At 46.3% G+C, this 24415-nt stretch overlaps 2 protein-coding genes across 24 annotated transcripts in view, besides 1 other annotated feature; both read left to right on the top strand.

Moving 5' to 3' along the window:
• ZSCAN5A (zinc finger and SCAN domain containing 5A) overlaps positions 1-21051 on the top strand; it is a 146976-nt gene extending 125925 nt beyond the window's left edge. For 5 of the 23 annotated variants that reach the window (NM_001322072.3, NM_001322065.3, NM_001387857.1 and 2 more), the window contains 4 exons: positions 17306-17691; positions 18520-18723; positions 19613-19763; positions 20028-21051. In NM_001322072.3, the coding sequence (NP_001309001.1) occupies positions 17308-17691; positions 18520-18723; positions 19613-19763; positions 20028-20779 (1491 nt within the window). In that variant the 5' untranslated portion in view covers positions 17306-17307 and the 3' untranslated portion in view covers positions 20780-21051. Of the gene's footprint in view, positions 1-11952; positions 12070-13914; positions 14103-17180; positions 17692-18519; positions 18724-19612; positions 19764-20027 lie in introns of those variants that run through there. The other 18 variants (NM_001322073.2, NM_001387855.1, NM_001387854.1 and 15 more) reach the window with 9 other exon arrangements.
• LOC124904774 (uncharacterized) lies at positions 4782-10700 on the top strand. Its single transcript, XM_047439798.1, has 2 exons — positions 4782-7231; positions 7302-10700. Exons 1-2 carry the CDS (start codon positions 5943-5945, stop codon positions 7372-7374), a joined length of 1362 nt encoding a protein of 453 aa, XP_047295754.1. The 5' UTR covers positions 4782-5942; the 3' UTR covers positions 7375-10700.
• Positions 5120-6319: an enhancer, noted in NCBI's record as "CDK7 strongly-dependent group 2 enhancer chr19:56747404-56748603 (GRCh37/hg19 assembly coordinates)". NCBI's record gives its function as "activates an origin of replication core promoter dependent on BRD2, BRD4, P300/CBP, MED14 and CDK7 cofactors, with strong dependence on CDK7, by STARR-seq in HCT116 cells {active_cell/tissue: HCT116}" and the evidence as "EXISTENCE:reporter gene assay evidence [ECO:0000049][PMID:35650434]".
• Positions 21052-24415: the final 3364 nt, after the last annotated feature.

The following is a 24415-nucleotide window of genomic DNA, read 5'->3' as shown; positions in this document are numbered from 1 at the left end:
GCCTCTGTGGACACCTCAGATGAAGACATGTGAATGGCCAGCAGGTCTAGGAAAAGGTGCTCGTCATCACTCATCATCAGGGACATGCAAATCCAAACCACAAGGCACCCCTCACGCCTGCTAGAGTGGCTGTTCCCAAAAAGACACATGGAACGAGTGTTGGTGAGGATTCGGGGGAAAGGGGTCCTCTGCGCCCCGTGCTGGGATGTAAATTAGAGCAGCCGATATGGGAGACAGTATAGAAGCTCCTCAGAAAATTGAAAGTCCAACAACTGCATGATCCGGCAATCCCGCTCCGGGGCAGGTACACAGAGGAAAGGAAATCAGGACGTGGACTCCAAAACAGTGAAACTCTGGAGGGATAGAGGGAGGGAGGGTTGAAAAACTACCTATCGGGTGCTCCTCACATCCTGGGTGACGGGTTGAGTCATACCCCAAATCTCAGCATCACTCAATACACTCATGTAACAAATCTGCACAGGCACCCAGCGAATCTAAAATACAAGTTAAAATCATTTAAAAAATTAAAAAAGAAGTAGATGACATGAATAATAATTTTAAAAGCCTAGTGGACTCATAGTAGCAGTGAGTAGAATGGTGGTTACCAGGGCTGGGATGGGGGTTGGGGAGATATAGGTCTAAGGGTACAAATTTCAGTTGGAGAGATGAATTCAAGAGAGCCGTTGTCCAACATGGTGACTTCAGTTCATAACAATGTATGCTTGGAAATTGCTAAAAGAGTAGATTTCAATCAAGTATTCTCACAGCCAAAAATGATTAGTACATAAAGTAAGGCATGTGAATAGCAGCTTAATTTAGCCATTTTACAGCGTTCACATCCTACAAAGCACATTATGCTGTGCCCAATTGTATACAATTTTTAGTTTTCAATTTGAAAGCAAATTAATTTTTTTTGAAAAAAGCATACAAATATGAGAGAGAAAAGAGAGCCTAAAATTCTGGAATTAAAAGTGGCTTTGCTGCAAGGGCGCCTGCTGCTGCTCAGGCCAAGGCAAGAGGATCACTTGAGCCCAGGAGTTTGATAACAGCCTGGGCAACATAGTGAGATCCTGTCTCTTAAAAAAGTGGTTTCATGTTCCTAGAAATCACCGTGTATTCACTCTCAGTTCTTTTCCCATTAAAGCAAGCAATGGAACATGGGAAAAAATAAAGGCAGGTATGCGGGTTAGTATTCAATTCTGGGAGTATATAGCACACAGGACCCCCAGGTAGGGACACTTAGTGCACATTCTCATTGGCCTAGTAGGTTGATGCTCATTCATTAATGGCTGATTTTACCCTGTGGAAAGGGAAAATCCAGTGATGCTTTTTAACAAGTGGAGTGCGGCCGGCAAGGTGGCTCACGCCTGTAATTCCAACAGTTTGGAAGACCCAGGTGGTATGATTGCTTGAGCCTAGGAGTTCAAGACCAGCCTGTGCAACATACCGAGACCCCATCTCTACAAAAAAATAAAATGTAGCCGGGCCTGTTGGCAGGTAGGTGCCTGTCGTCCCAGCTGATGGTGAAGTGAAGTCTCGCCAATGACTGGAGACCAGGAATTCAAGCCAGCCTGGGCAATGAGTGAGACCCCCGTCTCTAAAATGTAACCTACCCATGATGAGAAAGTTAATATTATTCCTAGTTTACATAAGGGTTTCATAACAAGCCAGAGTTAATCACGGGGTGCAAAGGAGACCCGATGCTTTCACAAGGTCTCCAAGCAAATGCATGAGAAAATAAACCCAAATCTTTCTGAAACTAACCCCCCTGCATGCCAGCTCCTAAACCCCACAGACATGGCCTCTGGACACTTACCTCCTTCCCGCCTTATGCCTCCAACTTTCTCGCATCTGGGATGCACTCTCCAACTGGCCTGGAGCTGAACTGCGCCTATTTATGGAGAAGTCGAAGGACTCCAGGCCCCATTTCCAGTTCCTGCACTGCCCCATGATTGGTTTAGGGCCACGTAATCCATTTTAGGTGATCCGAGTTGATTACATTTCCCAATGAAACCCTGCCCACAGGAAGTTAAAGTATTAAACATGCCTACTGTGCAAATAACATAGGTTTTCCCACTCTACTGAATTATTTGTCATATTGCTGAAGTATTTGGAGGCCTCAGAAAATATAGATCCACAAGTTTTTTTTTGTTTGGTTTTATGGGTTTTTTTTTCTTCTTTTGGTTTTTTTTGAGACAGAGTCTCACACTGTCCCCCAGGCTAGAGTTCAGTGGCGTGATCTCGGCTCACTGCAAGCTCCACCTCCTGGGTTCAAGCGATTCTCCTGCCTCAGCCTCATGAGTAGCTGGGATTACAGGTGCCCGCCACCACGCCTGGCTAATTTTTGTATTTTTAGTAGAGACGGGGTTTCACCATGTTGGCCAGGCTGGTCTTGAACTCCTGACCTAGTGATCTGCCCACCTCGGCCTCCCAAAGTGCTGAGATTACAGGCGTGAGCCACCACACCTGGCCCTAGGTCCACAAGTTTTAATCACTTTGGGTCCCCTCGCGCCACACAGACAGTAATATCCTAACAAATAAAGGACATGTTAAGAGTTGTTGGATTAATATCAAACCAGTGATTTAATGCAGTTTAAGCAAAGCCTTTCACATATTAATGTCAGTATATTGAAAAATACAGTCATTGCTGATATACAATAAATATTAGTGATAATTCTTTACTTTTCTTTTTCAAACTCTTGGAATTCACATGGAAAAGCTTTGCTTGAACTAGTCTAAATCACTGGTTTGATATCAGCCAACCTACCCTTATGTAAAAACAGTGGGAACCAGAGAAAGGCACATGGTCCCCACTCTGCACTCACTCCAGGACGGTGAGAGGGTGGTTTATAGATACACTGAGGGTCCTACAGGGTTCCCTGGTTCTCAGCCCCCTGACTGAGGCCTCTCAAACGTGAAAAGCCTTAATGTTAGGTGTGAATTATACTGCGTGGATCATGGAGTCATTGTGGAATGAAAACTGAGTGTCATGATTAGATTACATGATTAGGTTACAATTTGGGAAGTTCGCAGCATCCGCTGACTGATTCACAAATCCATTCAAATTGTGGCTCATTCATTTTTAATTCAGAGTAAATTTTCTCATCTAACACTTAACATACATTGAAGGGTTATTAATATTACACTGATTCTGGTTTAAATCCTTGGGAAATCTTAAGCCACTGAATTTTGTGAACTTCAAGCTCCCTGTGAATAGAACCAGGGAATTATTACCTTCCTGATATGTTCTTTGGAAGATGATATAAGATTATGTCAGTAAAGTGCCCGACACAAGGTCATTTTGCCAAAAAGTTCTGACACTTATTTCCTGATGCATTTTCTCATACTTTGTGATATTTTTCCTTGTTAAGAATTGAGGCGTTGATAGTGAGTCAGTTCAGAATGGAGTTATTAAGTGGAATGAACTAGAATCTGCCTAAAACCACCATCTACCTACCCAATTCCCTCCAGTCCTCTCCTCTTGAAACATGTCATGTTCTCATAAGGAATGTCCTTGGCATTTTGGTAGGGATTGAGTTGGATCTATAGATCTCTATTAATAGTGTGGTCATTTTCACAATGTGAATTCTTCCGATTTATGAACATGGACTATCTTTCCATTTGTGTGCCCTCTTCATTTCCTCTCATCAGTATTTTATAGTTTTTCTTGTAGAGATCTCCTACCTGTGTGGATAAATTTGTTTATTGATTGATTTATTTTTAGAGCCAAGGTCTCACTCACCTTGGCTGGGTGCAATGGAAAACTCATAGCTCACTGCAGCCTTGAACCCCTGGGCTCAAGAGAGCCTCCTGCTCCAGCCTCCTGAGTGAGTATCTGGAATTACAGGCAAGCACCACCACACTTGGCTAATTTTAAAAGATTTTTTTGTAAAGATGGGGGTATCACTGTGTTGCCCAGGCTGCTCTCCAATTCCTGGCCTCTACCTGTCCTTGGTGACTAAGGTCACCATGCTGGTGTTTACATATCCCTATTCATGGTGTAATTATACTACAATCAAGCTAATTAATGTATTCGTCAACTCACATAGTGACTATTTTCATTTCATTATTTATTTGCTTAATTCCTGGCCTCAAGTAATCCTCCTGCCTCAGCCTCCCCAGTAGTGGGGACTAAGAGCATATGCCACAACCCCTGGCTTGCTTTTTGTTTCTTTGACGTGTGTGTGTGTATGTGTGCGTATGTGTGTATGTCCATGTGTGTGTCTGTGTGTGGGTGTGTGTTCGTATGTGTTTCCGTGTGTCCGGGTGTGTCTCTGTGTGTGTCTAGGGGACTAGACACATATGCCACGACTCCTGGCTTGCTTTTTGTTTCTTTGACGTGTGTGTGTATGTGTGCGTATGTGTGTATGTGTGTGTGTCCGTGTGTCTGTGGTGAAACACTTATGATCTATCATTTTTTAAATTTTTTTTATTTTTGAGACAGAACCTCACTCTGCCACCCAGGCTGGAGCACAGTGGCACAATCTCAGGTCACTGCAACCTCCACCTCCCGGGCTCAAATGATCCTACTGCCTCTTCCTCCCAAGCAGCTGGGAATACAGGCGCCACCCATGCCCGGCTAATTTTTATATTATTTGTAGAGACGGGGTTTCGCCATGTTGCCCAGGCTGGTCTCAAACTCCTGAGCTCAAGCGATCCGCCCGTCTCAGCTTCCCAAATTAATGGAATTACAGGCATGAGCCACCGCGCCCCGGCCCATAATCGATCTTCTCAGCAAATTTCAAGTATGCGATACAGTGTGGATGCTCTTCAACGTACAGCGAAGTCACATCCTGATAAATTGAAAATATAGAAGATAAAAAATGCATTTAATATTATGTCACCTACAAAACATCAGAGTTTAGCCTAGCCTACCCTAAACCCGCCCTGAACACGTACCTTCCCCTACAGTTGGGCAAAATCGTCCAACAGAAAACCTATTTTATAATAAAGTGTTGACTCTCTCCTGTAGTTTATTGAATACTGAACTGAAAGTGACAATCAGAATGGCGGTGTGGATCCTCCTCAGCAATGTGCACAGCTGAAAGCACCGCCGCAAAGGAGAAAAATTGTACGTGGAGCTGTTACCGGATGGAGTTGTCCACGTTCTAGGCGTGTTGAACAGAGAATTGAATGAAACGCACAAAGTAACAAAAGAACAAAGCAACGAAAGACAAAAACACAAAAAAACGGAGTAAGGAAAGCACAGGTTTATTGAAGACAATTCACAGACTGGGAGCGGGGCTCCAGCAAGAGGCCCAAGAGCTTCCTCAATTAGGGTTTTTATTAAAAGGAACCCGGCAATACCCCTCGGTGTCTTTGACAGGCCTCCCATTGGCTACACCCCGTGAAGGACTGACCTGCGACCAGTCAGAGGCTGACGTGGAGACTTGGCCCACCGTCCGTCAGAGGCTGGAGTGGAGGCTTGGCCCACCATCCATCAGAGGCTGGAGTGGAGACTTGGCCCACCGTCCATCAGAGGCTGGAGTGGAGGCTTGGCCCACGGTCAATCAGAGGTTGGAGTGGAGGCTTGGCCCACCGTCCATCAGAGGCTGGAATGGAGGCTTGGCCCACCGTCCATCAGAGGCTGGAGTGGAGGCTTGGCCCACGGTCAATCAGAGGTTGGAGTGGAGGCGTGGCCCACCGTCCATCAGAGGCTGGAATGGAGGCTTGGCCCACCGTCCATCAGAGGCTGGAATGGAGGCTTGGCCCACCGTCCATCAGAGGCTGGAGTGGAGGCTTGGCCCACCGTCCATCAGAGGCTGGAGTGGAGACTTGGCCCACCGTCCATCAGAGGCTGGAGTGGAGGCTTGGCCCACCATCCATCAGAGGCTGGAGTGGAGACTTGGCCCACCGTCCATCAGAGGCTGGAATGGAGGCTTGGCCCACCGTCCATCAGAGGTTGGAGTGGAGGCTTGGCCCACGGTCAATCAGAGGCTGGAATGGAGGCTTGGCCCACCGTCCATCAGAGGCTGGAGTGGAGGCTTGGCCCACCGTCCATCAGAGGCTGGAGTGGAGACTTGGCCCACCGTCCATCAGAGGCTGGAGTGGAGGCTTGGCCCACGGTCAATCAGAGGCTGGAGTGGAGACTTGGCCCACCGTCCATCAGAGGCTGGAATGGAGGCTTGGCCCACCGTCCATCAGAGGCTGGAGTGGAGGCTTGGCCCACCGTCCATCAGAGGCTGGAGTGGAGACTTGGCCCACCGTCCATCAGAGGCTGGAGTGGAGGCTTGGCCCACCGTCCATCAGAGGCTGGAGTGGAGACTTGGCCCACCGTCCATCAGAGGCTGGAGTGGAGGCTTGGCCCACCGTCCATCAGAGGTTGGAGTGGAGGCTTGGCCCACGGTCAATCAGAGGCTGGAGTGGAGGCTTGGCCCACCGTCCATCAGAGGCTGGAGTGGAGGCTTGGCCCACCATCCATCAGAGGCTGGAGTGGAGACTTGGCCCACCGTCCATCAGAGGCTGGAATGGAGGCTTGGCCCACCGTCCATCAGAGGCTGGAGTGGAGGCTTGGCCCACCGTCCATCAGAGGCTGGAGTGGAGACTTGGCCCACTGTCCATCAGAGGCTGGAGTGGAGACTTGGCCCACCGTCCATCAGAGACTGGAGTGGAGGCTTGGCCCACCATCCATCAGAGGCTGGAGTGGAGACTTGGCCCACGGTCCATCAGAGGCTGGAGTGGAGACTTGGCCCACCGTCCATCAGAGGCTGGAGTGGAGACTTGGCCCACGGTCAATCAGAGGCTGGAGTGGAGGCTTGGCCCACCGTCCATCAGAGGCTGGAGTGGAGACTTGGCCCACGGTCAATCAGAGGCTGGAGTGGAGGCTTGGCCCACCGTCCATCAGAGGCTGGAGTGGAGACTTGGCCCACCGTCCATCAGAGGCTGGAGTGGAGGCTTGGCCCACCGTCCATCAGAGGCTGGAGTGGAGGCTTGGCCCACCATCCATCAGAGGCTGGAGTGGAGACTTGGCCCACGGTCCATCAGAGGCTGGAGTGGAGACTTGGCCCACCGTCCATCAGAGGCTGGAGTGGAGACTTGGCCCACGGTCCATCAGAGGCTGGAGTGGAGGCTTGGCCCACCATCCATCAGAGGCTGGAGTGGAGACTTGGCCCACGGTCCATCAGAGGCTGGAGTGGAGACTTGGCCCACCGTCCATCAGAGGCTGGAGTGGAGACTTGGCCCACGGTCAATCAGAGGCTGGAGTGGAGGCTTGGCCCACCGTCCATCAGAGGTTGGAGTGGAGGCTTGGCCCACCGTCCATCAGAGGTTGGAGTGGAGGCTTGGCCCACGGTCAATCAGAGGCTGGAGTGGAGGCTTCTGTCTCGTTATCACAGGAGTGAGGATGTGGCCTGTGTGCTGCCTAATCTTGCCTAGAACTGGCTGCAAGTGCGGTTCTTTTGCTTCTACCTTAACCCCTGGTTACCCTAATTCCCTTGTAGTAGGACGAGCCACAGACGAAACCTCTCAGACACCGAGTTGTAGAAGGAAGGGCTTTATTCAGCTGGGAGCATTGGCAAGCTACTGCCTTGAAATCCGAGCTCCACGAGTGAGCAATTCCTGTCCCTTTTAAGGGCTCACAACTCTAAGGATTTCACATGAAAGGGTCGTGATTGATTTGAGCAAGCAAGGGGTACGTGACAGGGGCTGCATGCACCGGTGGTCAGAGAGAAACAGAACAGGGCAGGGAGTTTCACAATGTTGTTCTATACAATGTCTGGAATCTATGAATAACATCGGTTTTTAAGTTATCAGTTGATTTTTAACTACTGGGTTTAGGCCAGGCAGGCCCAGGCCTGGTTTCGGGCCTGGCGCCGGGCTGCCTGTCTTTGGTTTTACTTCCTTGTTGTTTTTTTTTTAAAACAGGTATTGAGTATAAAACAATATAAAACAATATGAGAGGGTCTCTCTCTTCCCTCACCCTATTCTCCTGCCTCAGAGCCCTCAGAAGTAGGGGATGGTCCCTAACATTGATTACAACCCCTAGTCCGTATAATATATCTTCAGAGCTTGTTCACCCTGCATGGCTGCAAACGTTTTCTCTTTTCTTTTTATGACCTGAACCGGGGAGCCCAGGAATTCTGTACTCTTCAAGAGAACTCTTTCCTCTTCAGTAGTTTCTTCCTTCCCACTTTGTGAACCAGGAAGACCTTGAAAATGGGAACATGCTTCTTGTTTTCACTTTCCTTCTTTTTACCAATTTCTCTGCCTCATTCACTGACGAATTGGCTGCTATCCCACACACCTCCTCTCCTACTGACATTCTGAAATCTTTGTGAGTTCAGCCTCCGGACACACAATCTCTTATTTGTAGAGTTGGGTCTCACTATGTTGCCCAGGCTGGTCTCAAATTCCTGGTCTCAAGAAATCCTCCTGCCTCAGCCTTCCAGAGTGCTGGGATTACAGGCGTGAGTTACTGTGCGTGCTCACGGTGCCTGGCCCGGGTTCCTTTTCTGCCAGCTTGGAAGGGCAACCCCATGACTGAATGTTATTCTGAGGGTGGCTCCGCATTTGCATCCTTGTTACAGTGCATCCACTTGAAACACTGCACATCTGAACTGGGACTGTTAACACACATGCTGATACAGTGTGGGGTGCCAGGAAGTGTCTGCTGATATTTATGGCAAAAAAAAAAAATCTGTTTTGTTTACTTAGTGTATCAAAAGAAAGTCTGGGGTGAACAGTAGTATTTTTTTTTAAGCAGCTGTGAAAAAAAGTTGGAGATCTCCAAAAAAAAAAAAAAAGGTGATTTCATAGAAAAGTATAGGATTCGGTGTGGGTGAGGTTGCTTCAAGTTGGTTTGGTACAAGAACTTTCTAGCCATTCCTTATCTGTTTAGAAGTGAATGATCCACCCACCGCCAGGATGGCTCATCAAACAATGGAACCATTTGCCCTTATGGCGCACAGCTGTAATATCCAATCATCTCCAGGTGCCAAGCATGTCCTCTCATTTCATTCTCAACACGATAACGAGCGGAGGGCGGGGACCATTTCAAAGACAAAACGTGGACACCGTTTTTATAGACAATGATGTTTGGACTAAATGAATGCCATGACCTGACTTTCTCAACAGTCTGAAGCTAAATAGAAACAAGCAGAAGTCTCATCTCAAGCCTGCCAGGCCCCATCCTGTAGGCACATGTGAAATGTAAAAACTTGACCCATTGTACTAGTAGGTGGAGCTGCCATTATTTGAGTCATTGAATAGTGTTGAGACAGAATTGGGTTGACACTGCCAACTCCTAAAATTAGAATCTAGACATTGCAGGTACATCACTCACAGCTCCAACGAATGCCTCTGCCTTCATAGAGTAGCTTTCTGACTTCTGTTTAACATTTTTTTTGGAATAAAGTCTTGGAAATAAGCCCATATAGTCAGACATGATGGCTGATGCCTGTAATCCTAGCACTTTAAGAAGCTGAGGCTGGTGGATTGCTTGGGTCCAGGAGTTAAAGACCAGCCTGGGCAACATGGTGAAACTCGGTGTCTACAAAAACATACAAAACAATTAGCCAGGCCTGGTGGTGCACACCTGTGGTCGCAGCTACTGGGGAAGCTGAGGTGAGAGGATTGCTTGAGCCTGAGAGGTGGAGGCTGCAGTGAGCTATGATTGTGCAACTGTGCTTCAGCCTGGGCAACAGAGCAAGACCCTGTCTGAAAAAAAGAAAAAGAAAAAGAAAAAAAAATTAGCCTATATAGGGGAAGGGGAAGAAAAAAGAGCTCAGTGTGGATCACAGCAGAGTCAGCCAGGTTGATGGCTGTGGCTTGCCCATGAGTACTGGTAGTTGAGATGAGGAGAGCTGGTCAGATTCTGAACTTGTTTTCAAGTTTTAAGAGAATCCTCTTTTTTTTTCATGGTCTTATTGAGGTACAGTTGATATAAAATAAATAACTCATATCCAAAGGGCCCAATTTAATAAAGTTTGGAATACTACTCAGCAGTAAAAAGAAATCATTGATAACACCCAAGAACATGGATGAATCTCAAAATAGTTACGAAGGTGAAAGGGGACAGCCAGAAAAAAAGTGCATCTGGTATGAGTCTATCAATATAAAATTCTAGAAAATTCTATTACTAGGCTGGGCACAGTGGCTGACACATGTAATCTCAGCACTTTGGGAGGCAAAAGCAGGTGGATTGCTTGAGCCCAGGAGTTCAAGATCAGCCTAGGCAATGTAGTGAGACCCATCTCTACAAAAAGTAGAAAAAATTAGCCGGACATAGTGGTCCCAGCCACCTGGGGGGGCTGAGGTAGGAGGTTCACTTAAGGCTGAGAAGTTGAGGCTGCAGTGAGCCGTGATCATACCACTGCACTGCAGCCTGGGCAACAGAGCAAGACACTGTCTCAAAAAAAAAGAAAAGAAAAAAAGAAAGAAAAAAGAAAATTCTGTCCGTGATCTGTAATGACACAGAGAACACCAGTGGTTGTCCAGGGATGGAGCTGTGGGAGGGACAGATGATGAAGAGCCTGGGGAAGCGTTGGAGGATGGTGGGGATGTTCAGCTTCTTGATGACGGCAATGACTTCATGAGTATGTACAAATGTCAGAACTTGGACTCTGGACATGCAGGCACAGGAACCAGCTAGAGGAGCTGCTGCACAGCAGTGTAAATGCACCAAATGCTGCTAAACTGTACAGATAAAACAGTTAATTTTATGTCACGTGAAATTCATGTCAATAAACACATTAATTAAGGTATAGGATTTGTTGAGAGACTGAGTGTGTCATGTGAGGGAAATGCAGGAATCAAGGATAACCCCACAAATCTTGTGGATTGCACATCAAGGGGGCTGGAGCCACCTTTACGTGAGGTGGGGAAAGATGTGGTAGGTCTGGGATGTGTGGTGATTGACAGGTCTGTTAGGCATCCAAGACAAGGGAAACTCCACATTCCCATGAGGGAAGGATGGTGGTTGGTCACGCATTCTTAGAGAAGGCATTATTTTCTTTTTGTCATTATTATTATTAACTTTATAAATTTACAAATAAAAATGGTACATACACATTTTTGGTGTACAACATAATGTTTTGATACATATATACAACGTGCAATGCTAAATCTAATAATTTGACATATGAGTGACTTGCATACTTATCTTTTTTGTATGAGGGGAACATTTATGTATTCATTTATTTTTTGAGAAAGGGTCTGGCTCTGTTACCCTGGCTGGAGTGCAGTGGCGTGATCACAGCTCACTGCAACCTTGACCTCCCAGGCTCAAGCAATTCTTCTGCCTCAGACTCCCAGGTAGCTGGGACTACAGGCTTGCACCATAATGCCCAGTGAACTTTCGTGTTTTTTTGTAGAGACTGGGTTTTGCCATGTTGCCAGTCTGATCTCAAAGTTCTGCTTTCAGCTGTGTACGTTACTGAGGAATATTCACACACCATTCTGATTGTCACTTTCAGTACAATGTTCAATAAACGACATGAGATATTCAGTGCTCTATTATAAAATAGGTTTCCTGTGAATGATTTTGCCTGACTGCAGGGGAATGTAAATGTTCTGAGCACGTCGAAGGTAGGCTAGGCTAAGTGCTGATGTTCAGTAAGTGACCTAATAGTAAATGCATTTTTATTTTCTATATTTTACATTCACAATAGGGTTTATCAGGATGTAACTTCATTGTAAGTCGAGGAGCATCTGTACTGTATACTTGAAATTTGCTCAGAGGGTGTATCTTAAATGTTTCCAACACACACACACACACACACACACACACACACACACACACATCAAGAAATAAAAAGAAAGCCAGATGTGGCTCGTGCCTGTAACCCCAGCTGCTAGGGAGGCTGAAGCAGGATTGCTTGAGCCCAAGAGTTAAATAACTAATAAGAAGGAAAGAACATGGTATCTATGTGAGGTGATGGAGATGTTAACTAGCTTGGTTCTGACGATTGCATCACAACGTATACCTGTTTCCAAACTTCACCCTGGTGACCTTTGTTAATAATAATATGTTGGGGCCGGGTATGGTGGCTCATGCCTGTAATCCCGGCACTTTGGGAGGCCGAGGCGGGTGGATCACGAGGTCAGGAGTTCAAGACCAGCCTGGGCAAGATGGTAAAACCCCATTTCTATTAAGTATAGAAAAATTCACCGGGCATGGTGGCGTGTGCCTGAAATCCCAGCTACTTGGGAGGCTGAGGCAAATAATTGCTCGAACCCAAGAGGCAGAGGTTGCAGTGAGCCTGGGTGACAGAGCGACACTTTGTCTCAAAATAATAATAATAATATAATAATAATGTGTTGGGAAAGTCTTAGCCAGAGCAAGGAATAAAGGGCATCCAAATTCAGAAGGAGGAAGTCGAATTGTCTCTCTTTGCAAACAACATGTTATCATCTATAAAAACACCTGAAACCTCCACCAGTAAAACAGAACTGATAAAGGAATTCAGTAAAACTACAGGATACGAAGTCAACATGCAAAAATCAGTAGTGTTTTTATACACCAACAAGCTAGTGGAACAAAAACCAAGAAAGCAATCCCATTTACAATAGCAAAAGAACCCCTAAAAACCTGGTAATAAATTTAACCAGGGAGGTGAAAGATTTCCACAAGAAAAACTATTAAGTGCTAATGAAAAAAAACAAAAAAGACCACCAAAAATGGAAAGCCATGTTCATAGAATGTGAAAAAGACCATACTATTAATAGACATCAGCAGATTCGATGCGGTCTCTTCCAAAATACCAACGGCAGCTTCACAGAAATAAGACTATGAGTTTACAGAGGGGAGGATTTAGGGGAATCGGGAATTGGGTAGCCAGAGAGTGGCTTAGGCAGCTCCCAGTTAATTCCAGTGAATAATTCCATTCTTAACTCTAACTCATTTGTTAGAGTTGAGTTAGAGTCAACACCTCAGTGGTAAACAAGAAAAAATGTAACAAAGTATGAGAACATGCCTCAGAAAATAATTGTTACAATTTCTTGGCAAAATGAACCTTGTATTGAGCACTTTACTGACATAGTCTTACTTCATCTTCAAAACAACACATCAGGAAAGTTCTACTCCCAAGAAGTTTGAAGTTCCCAGAGTGAAGCGGCTTAAGATTTTCCAAGGATTTAAACCAGAATCAGTGTAAAATTAACAGCCCTCCAATTTGTCCTAAAGGTTAGACGAGAAGGTTTCCTCTGAAATTAAAATGAATGAGTCACTACTTGAATGGATTAGTGTCATCCAACTGATGGTGTGAACTTCCCAAATTGTAATCTAATCCTGCCTAGCACTTAATTATCATTCCACATTAACTCCATGATCCACACAGTAAAATTCACACCCACCGTTAAGGCTTTTCGTGCTTGAGAGCCCTAACTGAGGGGGGCTGAGAACTAGGGAACCCCGTAGGACCCTCAGTGTATCTATAAACCACCCTATCACCGTCCTGGAATGAATGCAGAGTGGGGACCATGTGCCTTTCTCTGGTTCCCACTGTTTTTATATAAGGGTAGGTTGGCTGATATCAAACCACTGATTTAGTCTAGTTCAAACAAAGCTTTCCCATGTCAACTCCAATATTCTTTTTAAAAAATAAAAAATTATCACCAATATTCATTATGTATCAACAAAGACTGTCTCTTTTTTTCAGTAAAAAATTATCACCAATATTCATTATGTATCAACAAAGACTGTCTCTTTTTTTCAGTATCTTGACATTCATATGTGAGAGCTTTGCTCAAACTAGATCAAATCACTGGTTTGATACTAATCCACCAGCTCTTAACATGTTCTTTACTTGTTAGGATATTACTGTCTGTGGCATGAGGGGACCCAAAATGGTTAAAACTCGCAAATCTATATTTTCTGAGGCCACCAAATACTTCAGCAGTATGACAACTCAGTAGAGCGGGAAATATTTGCACAGTAGGCATGTTTAGTACATTAATTTCCTGTGGGTGGGGTTTCAGTGGGAACCATAATCAACGCCGATTACGTAAAATGGACTCTATGGCCCTAAACCAATCACGGGGCGGCGCAGGGAACCGGAAACGCGGCCTGGAGTCCCGCTTCTCCATAAATAGACGCAGTTCAGCTCCAGGCCGGTTGGAGAGCGCATCCCAGACCGAGAAGGTCGGAGGCAGAAGCCGGGAAGGAGGTGAGTGTCCAGCGGGGATGTCTGTCGGGTTTAGGAGCTGGCATGTCGGGGGTTGGTTTCAGAAAGTTTGGGTTTATTTTTTCGTGCGTTTTCTCGGAGACTTTGTGAAGGCAGCGGGTCTCCTTTGCACCCCATGATTAACTCTGACTCGTTATGTAACGCTTCTGTAAACTAGGAATAATACTAACTTTCTCATCAAGCTTAGGTTATATTTTATTTTATTTTAGAGACAGGGTCTCGCTTGAATTCCAGACTAGCCTGGAATTCCTGGGCTCAAGCGATCCGCCCGCCTCCGCCTCCCGAGTAGCTGGGACTACAGGCATATGCCACAACGACTGGATAAATTTTTAATTTTTTTTTTGCAGAGATGGGGTCTCGGTATATTGCTCAGGCTGGTCCTGAACTCCTGGGCTCTAGCATGTTCCCATGTCGGTCTTCCAACCTGTTAGAATTACAGGCCTGAGCCACTTTGCCTGCCACACACCCTTTTTAAAAAGCATTGCTGGATTTTCCCTTTGCACAGGGTGAAATCAAATCATTGATGAATGAGCATCAACCTACTAGGCCAATGAGAATCTGAGCTAAGTGTCCCTACCTGGGTGACCCGTGTGGTATATACTCCCAGAATTGAATACTAACTCCTGTGTCTGCCTTTATTTTTTCCTGTGTCTTGTTTCTTACTTTAACGGGGAATGAACTAAGATCAAATACAAAGTGATTTCTAGGAACATGAAACCACTTTCTTTTTTAGAGACAGGATCTCACTATGTTGCCCAGGCTGTTATCAAACACTTGGGCTCAAGTGATCCTCCCACCTCCGCCTCTGCCTCCTGAGCAGCAGCAGGCGCCCTCTGGCAAAACCACTTTTAATTCCAGAATTTCAGGCTCCCTTTTCTCTATCATATCTGTGTGCTTTTTCAATAAAAATTAATTTGCTTCTAATTGAAAACTAAAAATTGTATATATTTATGGCATATAGCATAATATGCTTTGTAGTATTACAAACATTGTTAAATGGCTAAATTGAGCTAATATTCATATGCCCTACCTCATGTACTAACCATTTTTGGTTTTGAGAATACTTGAAATCTAATTTTTTTTAAGCAGTTTCCAAGTATACAATACATTGTTATGAACTGAAGTCACCATGTTGGACAATTGCTCTTTTGAATTGATTTCTTCAATTGAAATTTGTACTCTTTGACCTATATCTTCCCAACCCCTACCCCAGCCCTGGTAACTATTCTACTCACTACTACTATGAGTTCCACTGGGTTTTTAATTATTATTTATGTTATTTACTTCTTTTTAAATTTTTTTTTGTAATTTGAACTTGTGTTTTAGATTCAGTGGGTACCTGTGCAGATTTGTTGCATGAGTATATTGAGTGATGCTGAGGTGTGAGGTATGACTCTACCCATCACCCAGGATATGAGGATAGTACCCAATAGGTAGTTTTTCAACCCTCCCTCCCTCTATCCCTCCAGAGTTTCACTGTTTTGGAGTCCACGTCCTGATTTCCTTTCCTCTGTGTACCTGCCCCGGAGCGGGATTGCCGGATCATGCAGTTGTTGGACTTTCAATTTTCTGAGGAGCTTCTATACTGTCTCCCATATCGGCTGCTCTAATTTACATCCCAGCACAGGGCGCAGAGGACCCCTTTCCCCCAAATCCTCACCAACACTCGTTCCATGTGTCTTTTTGGGAACAGCCACTCTAGCAGGCGTGAGGGGTGCCTTGTGGTTTGGATTTGCATGTCCCTGATGATGAGTGATAATGAGCACCTTTTCCTAGACCTGCTGGCCATTCACATGTCTTCATCTGAGATGTCCACACAGGCGCCTTAAGCCCTTCTAGTGGGTTATGTGTTTTCTCGCTCTGGAGGAGTTTGAGTTGCTTATGTTTTGCACAGGAGCCCCGTGAGATGTGTGGTGTGTAAATATTGTCTCCTCCTCTGGGTTGTCTCCCGCCTCTGCCGATTGTCTCCCTGGCTGTCTCTCTGTTCTGCACTTGCTCAAAGTCCTTCCAGGAAGTGTGGGGCACTCGCCCTCCAGGCTACCAGTGACTTTTCCCAAGACCCTTCTGCCAGTTTTTTCTCCCCTCTGCAGACCTTCAGGTTGCTTCCCCCACCTGTGTCTAGGAAAGCAGGGCTGTGTTCTCATAGCTGTTGAACTTGGACGATAATTGATGCCTGGAGAGTATCACTCAGTGGCTCCTGCCTAATGAAGCTAGGTTTAGGAATTAATTTTTAAAAATCTTATTATTGTATCAACCCACTTCTTTAAAATATCAAAGAGCACTAGACTTTAAATCCATTTTCTGAGATGAGATTAGGAATACAGAAACCCTTAGAGACAGAAGGTAGATTAGTGATTGCTAGGGGCTGGGGTGGGTGGGCAGGGGGTGATCACTGATGGGGATGGGGTTGCTTTTGGGTTGATGAGATAATTCTGGAAGTAAACAGTGGTAATGGTTGTACAACATGGTGCATGTCTTAGTCCCATAAAATCGTGAACTTGAAGAGAGTAAAAAATGATGAAATTTATGAATGTACATTTTACCAAAATAACAAAATATCTGTGTAGGTGCTTAATCCTCATAGGATCCTTTAATGCTGTCCCTTCCCTGGAGCAAGTAAATGTTCTGGAGTTAACAAGAATATGTGTTGGGGAAAATATTACATTCTAACTCTTTTTCTCTATCCTTTTGCATAATTATGACTAAGGGCTTTGCCTTGGATCTTGTCCTGATGGGGAAACATAAAGGGCTTACTTTATTGTTGCATCACATTTTCAGAGCTTCACCTAACTATCTTATTTAATTTATAGTCAAGAACAATGTTGTTCCAATTGACAGGAAAACTGATTCAGCCTCTGCACAGTGATTTCCTAGAGATCAGAATCCAGGGGTCATTAAGATTTTAAACCAGAGTATGTAGTCAGGTATAGACACTGGAAGATTTCCACTGTGCTGAATTCGATGCTGCTGAAGAAGTGGCATCCAGGATGAGGGATTTCGAAGGGAGGGATGGATGGAGTAGTAACTTAAACTAATGAGGCTCATACTTTTCCCCCCCAGACTTCTGAATGAACAGTGAATCTATTACTGAGGAAAACCAGAGGAAGCCTGTGTAGATAGGTATCAATTAGATACCAGCTACTGGAAGAGCTTTCTCAGAGACTGATTAAAAAATTCTCCACTAGATATGGCTGCAAATTGCACATCCTCATGGAGTCTAGGAGAATCCTGCAACAGACCTGGGTTGGAGCTGCCACGGTCTATGGCATCCTCAGAAACTCAACTTGGAAATCACGACGTGGACCCTGAGATTTCTCACGTGAACTTCAGGATGTTCAGCTGCCCGAAGGAGTCGGACCCCATCCAGGCTCTGAGGAAACTCACTGAGCTGTGCCATCTGTGGCTGAGGCCCGACCTCCACACCAAAGAGCAGATCCTGGACATGCTGGTGATGGAGCAGTTCATGATCTCCATGCCCCAGGAGCTCCAGGTCTTAGTCATGATGAACGGTGTGCAGAGCTGCAAAGACCTGGAGGACCTGCTACGAAATAACAGAAGACCCAAGAAATGGGTGAGTGGGACCCTCGTGATTGGTGCAGGGAAGGGGAGCTGGGATGGGGGCTGCACGGTGCAGCTGGACTCGAGAGGACCCGAGGGGCTGCTCTAGGTCAGGGCTTCCAAGTAGAGGAGAGTTTGCCCGTCGGGGACACATGGCAGTGTCTGGGGACAGTTTTTGTTGTCAGGGAGGACAGGAGACGCTGCTAAGCGTTCTCTAACGCTCAGGACAACCCATCATGACAAATAATCATCCAGATTCCAATATCAGCTGTGCTGAGACGGCAAGTTCCTGGTGTAGGAGATGGACAGGCAGAGGGGGTACAGGGACCCACACACTGTGTGAGGCCAACATGAAAGAAAGACATTGGTGAAATATTAGGCCTGATGGAATGTAGGGAAGGAGGCATTAGAGTGAACTGAAGGGGGGCCCAGGAGTCCCATCCTGAAGCAGGGAAAGTGGTTGGTATCAGATGCAGGGATCTGCCCCCAGGTCCCCAAATGAGCCCCTAAGTTCTAATACAAGGTGAGCTGCCATCGGCCAATTGAGTTGGATTCACCCAGAATATTTCTCCTTGTCTTCTCTTTGGTTTAGAGACTATTTCATCTAAAGGACCCATGTTTATGTACTTAACTAGAATATTCCAGGCGCAGGCAGGTGCTGGAGTCTAGAGAGGAAAAAATTCAGACAGGATTGCTGTGTCCACAGAGCTGACTCTCTATTGGGAAGGCAGATTTGAACATTAATTACAGTAAAGTGTGAGCATTATGGCAGGACCCAGGGAATATGAGAGCTACTTTCAGGTTCTCATGGTGAGTCTGATTGTCTTTTTTCTCTCTACAGTCTGTGGTCACCTTCCACGGAAAGGAATATATTGTGCAGGACTCAGATATCGAGATGGCTGAAGCCCCCTCCAGTGTCAGAGATGATCTGAAAGACGTGTCCAGCCAACGGGCCTCCTCGGTGAACCAGATGCGTCCAGGGGAAGGCCAGGCCCACCGAGAGCTGCAGATCCTGCCCAGGGTCCCTGCATTGTCCAGGAGGCAGGTGAGTGTGTGAGGCCTTGGTGTCTGGGCAGAGGTGGGAGAAGGAACAGGAGGAAATCGTGTGGCCGCTGGACTGATTGAGAGATTTGACACAGGACAAGATTAGAGCCATTCCCCATGGACATGATACATCCCCAAACATTCATTCCTGAGCCATCACAGAGAGGGAAGCCTCATCTACTTTTCTCTCCACCATGAGAGCTTTTAGCATTTAGGGTGGGGCATAAGAAATGATCTCAGTGAAATGAGGGAGGCAGTTTGCACAGATGAATGAAGATTCCTTCCCCGTAGCCAGTTTCCTCAAAGACATTTAATGTAATAATTCAGCAAGGAAACCATTTTCTACAGATTGTCAATTTCTTAATTTGAGGAGTGTTTCTCAACTGGGGTGATTCTGCCTTTCCGGACACATGGCCATGTCTGGAGATGCTTTTGTGTGTCATTGTAGGGGATGGTGGGGTGTTAATAGCATCTAGAGGGTGGAGGTGGGGTCTCTGCTCTGCACAGGAGCGCCCCCTCCAGCAGGGTGATGCAGCCCCAATGCCAGTGGTGCCACAGCTGAGGGGCCTCGACTAGAGTCATGCTCCTTCCAGTGTCAGGTGCAGGGAGACGTTGGCACGGCGGGGAGAAATATGCTCAGAGAACCAAACAGTGAAAACCACCAGGCACAGGAGCTGATTTGGAATATGGAGGGTGCAGATTAGGGACAGACACAGAAATGAGATGGTGATGTTTACGTGGGGTGATGGGGTGGTCCAGGGGAAGTCTGCACGTATTTCCACACCTGTGTCATTAGAAGAGTTGTTGCATCCAATCAGAAGGGGACAGATGTGTCCCTGCTTCCACCAGTTTGGACACAGCAGTCATTACTCTTGGTTTTTCCTCTTCAGGGAGAGGACTTTCTGCTACACAAGAGTATTGACGTAACAGGTGACCCAAAGTCTCTGAGACCCAAGCAGACCTTGGAGAAGGATCTGAAGGAAAACAGGGAAGAGAACCCAGGACTGACATCCCCAGAGCCTCAGCTTCCAAAGAGTCCCAGTGAGTATGAAGACTTGGATCCACAGGGGTTAGTCCCTCTCTTCTGGGGTGCGGGGCTGGGGGCCCAGCATTATCATCCCCTGGGGGAGTTGGCACTCAGCTGTCAAAGCCTCCCCATCCTCTACTTTCCAGAGACCTACAGTCCAATGTCTTAGGCTTGAGCTTGAGCGGAAGTTGTCAGCCAACATCAGTGTTTGGTTGCAATGAGTTTGGTGTATTGAAAATGCGCTTTATTAACTGTGTGTGTGGAATCCCTTCTTCCAGCAGATCTGGTGAGAGCAAAGGAGGGGAAGGACCCCCCAAAAATAGCCTCTGTGGAAAATGTGGATGCTGACACACCTTCTGCCTGCGTTGTGGAGAGAGAAGCTTCGACTCACAGCGGGAACAGAGGAGACGCTCTGAATCTGAGCAGTCCCAAAAGAAGCAAACCAGATGCCTCCTCCATTTCCCAAGAAGAGCCTCAAGGAGAAGCCACACCTGTGGGCAACAGAGAATCCCCGGGACAAGCTGGGATGAATTCAATTCATTCCCCAGGCCCTGCGAGCCCAGTCAGTCACCCGGATGGCCAAGAAGCCAAGGCACTGCCGCCCTTTGCATGTGACGTGTGCGAGAAGAGGTTTACGTGTAATTCCAAGCTAGTCATCCACAAGAGATCACACACAGGCGAGAGACTCTTTCAATGTAATCTCTGTGGGAAGCGCTTCATGCAGCTTATTAGCCTCCAATTTCACCAGCGAACCCACACTGGCGAGAGGCCCTACACGTGTGACGTCTGCCAGAAGCAGTTCACCCAGAAGTCCTACTTGAAGTGTCACAAGAGAAGCCACACAGGGGAGAAGCCCTTCGAATGTAAAGACTGCAAGAAAGTTTTCACCTACAGGGGGAGCCTGAAGGAGCACCAGCGCATCCACTCCGGAGAGAAACCCTACAAATGTTCCAAGTGTCCAAGAGCCTTCAGTCGGCTGAAATTGTTAAGACGCCACCAGAAAACACATCCAGAAGCTACTTCTCAGTGATTGCATAATCCGGTCTATGCCTTCTGCACCAAGAAGAAGTGAATGATATTTTTCATCAATGTTATCAGATGACATTTGACACATGCAAGGGCGTCTGACACACAGAGGGAGTGCCCTAGATATGAATTGCCAGGATGTTTGAGTAAATATGTGTCCTCCCCACTGAGCTTTGTTTTCTGTTTCATTATGTCCATTGTTTTCTTATAGGTTTATTTTGGTTTGTGTTGCTGTTCTTCCAATAAACGATCATCTTATTAGTTTTCAATATTGTATAACGGAAAACTGAGTTTCCTGATTGACATGGGGTTACCCACTGTTTTGCTGTAAAGTACAGTTGTCCAAGGAGGGTGGCCATATAAAATACATAATGCCTGATGAAATTTGAGTTTCAGATAAACAATTTTCTTTAGTATCAGCATGTTCTAAATTATTTATTTATCTGAAACTCAGCTTTTATTGGGTATCCTGTAGAGTTTTCGTTTTCTTTTTTCTTTCTTTCTTTTTTTTTTTTTTTGAGATGGCGTCTCCCTCTGTCACGCAGGCTGAGGTTCAGTGGCATAATCACCGCTCACTGCAGCCGCGACCTTCCAGGCTCAAGCAATCCTCCCATCTAAGCCTCCCGAGCAGCCGAGACTACAGGAGCACGCCACCAACTTGGCTAATTTTTGTGGTTTTTGTAGAGATGGAATTTTGATATGTTGCCCAGGCTGGTCTTGAACTCCGAAGTACAAGTGATCCAACTGCCTCGGCCTCCTTAAGTGCTGGCATTACAGGCATGAGCCGCTGTGCCCTGTATTGTTTTTATTAGACTTTATTATAATTATGATATTCAAATTTTTGAAATAATTTTTTGTAGTGATGGGATTTCTTGTTGCCCAGGCTGGTGTGGGGTGAGCCACCACGCCTGGCTCTAGACTTTCTTTTTCAGAGCTGTTTAGGTTCACAGGGAAATTCAGTGGACAGCACAGAGTTCCCCTAGACTCCCTCCTCACACAACACAGCCTCTCCCTGCCCAGCATCCCCAGCAGAGTGGTGCACCTGTTCCATCAGTGAGGCTGCCTGGACATATCACCACCACCCAGAGTCCATAGTGTTCATTAGGGCTCGCTCTGGGTGTTGTACGTGCTGTGGGTTTGGACAAAGGCCTCATGAGTACACACCACTGGAGTATCCTGGGGGGTATTTTCACTGCCCCCGGAATCCTCTCTGCTCTGCATATTTATCTCCCTGCCCCAGATGGTGTATTTTGTGGCCTAAATTTGGCAACCTCTAAATTCCCGATTTGACTCTTGAACTACAGAGGCATTGGGAGTCTCTGGTGACTAGTTGGTCTTAGTGATACTACCATCCCCTGAAGGCGTGGTTAATCCTCAGGTGGGTGGGCCCCAGACTCAGCTTCTGATTGAGCAGACCGGGCATGGGGCCTGAGAGTGTGCATTAAAATATATAATTCATTTTAGAATAGCTTTCTAAAGTCCATGGAGCTCCCTAATGCCCCACATGGCTTCCCCCATTGCCAACATGGTTCATTAGGATGGCACCTTTGAACTGACTGGAGCGATGAACTGACTGGATATATTGCCGTGATCTAAGGCCCATACCTTATTGAGGCCTCCTTAGTGTTTACACAATGCCCTCCTCTTCCTTCCTCCCCATCCAAGACACCACATTGCCTTGAGTTGTCACGTCTCCCTAGGATCCTCTTGGTGACAATTTCTCAGATTTTACTTGTTTGGGATTACCTGAGAATGTACATTTTAGGTGGTGCTCATGCTGCTGGTCTTGGGAGGACATTTTATGGATGGCTGATTGAGCTGACGGGCAGAGTCCTGCAATCTGCAGAGGTCTGGAAAGGTCCCTTCCCAAATAGGCTGGATTCATTTATTAAAGACTACTTTTGTAAGACTTTGGTTCTTGTCATCTTAATTTAAAGGAATTTAATCAAGAGACCCACAGCAGAGAGATGCATCATAGAATAATTGATTACAGAGGAAATACAATATCTTGAAAGTTAAGGGCAGAATAGACAGGACATCCTGGGAGCAAGGATTCAGGGCCAGCTGCTCCCAAGGATGAGACAGCAAAGACCTGCTTGAGGGAGACTCCCCTTTATGGGAGTCTTGGATGATTACACCTAGGGGGGTGGGAAGAGGTGTTACTACTAAGCATATTCTGGGTGCTCTTCTGGGCACACAGGTGCAGTAGCTGTGCACATGTCTCATTAGCGTCTTAACTGCCCGCCCAGGTGTGTGTTTTTTACTATCATAACAAGAAATGTGTCGGTTTGTGGATGGGTAAGATCAACGTGCACATTCTCTCTACAGTGGAAATACTACAGTGGAAATACCCTACTGGAGATGGCCTTGCTTGAATGAACTCAATTCCAATGTGAACGCTGAGGCTTACTGTGTTGACTGTACAGTCACCACGCGTGCAGCATCCTGAGGACGTGGTCATTTCCTTGACTGCCTATCCTGCCTCACCCAGGTCCGTTTCGGAGTAGCATTCTTTGAGGCAGGGACCTGGAATCCACCATAAAATGTACATAGACTCCCCTTTCATTCAAGAAGTGGAGGTAGGGGTGGGTGGTGGTTCTCCCTTTTGGTGATTGGGTCCAACCTTCTTCACAGACGTAGAAAATGTGTTGATAATACCACCTGCCCGTTTAATTTCAATCATGGTGCTCTATGATCCATTAATGACATCCAATGTTTCTTTAGAGCTTCATTTTCTAATTTGGCTACATGTTGGAGTCACTTGAGGAGTTTTTAATATTTTTTTTAAAAGCAATGCCTGGGGTCCAGCCCTAAGGTAATGATGTGATTGGCTGAGGATGTGGCCCCTGTGTTGAGAGTTTATAAAACTCCGCAGGTGATCTAACGTGTGGCTGAGTCTGGCAGGTCGATTTTCTTTTTTTTTTTTTTCTTTTTTTTTGAGACAGAGTCTTGCTCTGTTGCCCAGGCTGGAGTGCAGTGGCGCGATCTCGGCTCACTGCAAGCTCCGCCTCCCGGGTTCATGCCATTCTCCTGCCTCAACCTCCCGAGTAGCTGGGACTACAGGCGCCCGCCACCACGCCCAGCTAATTTTTTGTATTTTTAGTAGAGACGGGGTTTCACCATGTTAGCCAGGATGGTCTCGATCTCCTGACCTCGTGATCCACCCGCCTCAGCCTCCCAAAGTGCTGGGATTACAGGCATGAGTTACTGTGTGTGTTCACGGTGCCTGGCCCGGGTTCCTTTTCTGCCAGCTTGGAAGGGCAACCCCATGACTGAATGTGATTCTTAGGATGGCTCCGCATTTACATCCTTGTTACAGTGCATCCACCTGAAAGGCTGCACACCTGAACTGGGACTGTTAACACCCATGCCAATACAGTGTGGGGTGCCAAGAAGTGTCTGCTGATATTTGTGGGGAAAAAAATCTATTTTGTTCACCTACTGTATCAAAGGAAAATTTGGGGGAGAACAGTGGTATTGTTTTAAATCAGGGGTGAAAACAAGTTACAGATCTGAAAAAAAAAAAAAGACTGGAGGGCGATTTCTTAGAAAAGCAGAGGGATTTGGGGTCTCGGCCTTCGGGCTCCATCCAGCGCCATCGGCCTGGCGCTGCCGCCAACGCGGGCATGGATGGGCCCCT

Source organism: Homo sapiens, chromosome 19 (assembly GCF_000001405.40).
Source record: "Homo sapiens chromosome 19, GRCh38.p14 Primary Assembly".
NCBI lineage: Eukaryota > Metazoa > Chordata > Mammalia > Primates > Hominidae > Homo > Homo sapiens.
The sequence above is the reverse complement of the archived record's forward strand: the minus strand, read 5'-3'. Positions and strand labels throughout refer to the sequence as shown.

Bases quoted from the DNA above. Each gene is read 5' to 3' on its own strand.
- LOC124904774 (XM_047439798.1), top strand. From the start codon at position 5,943: ATGGAGGCTTGGCCCACCGTCCATCAGAGGCTGGAGTGGAGGCTTGGC. The intron at 7,232-7,301 runs GTTGGAGTGGAG...GGTCAATCAGAG, and splicing joins TGGCCCACCGTCCATCAGAG to GCTGGAGTGGAGGCTTCTGT.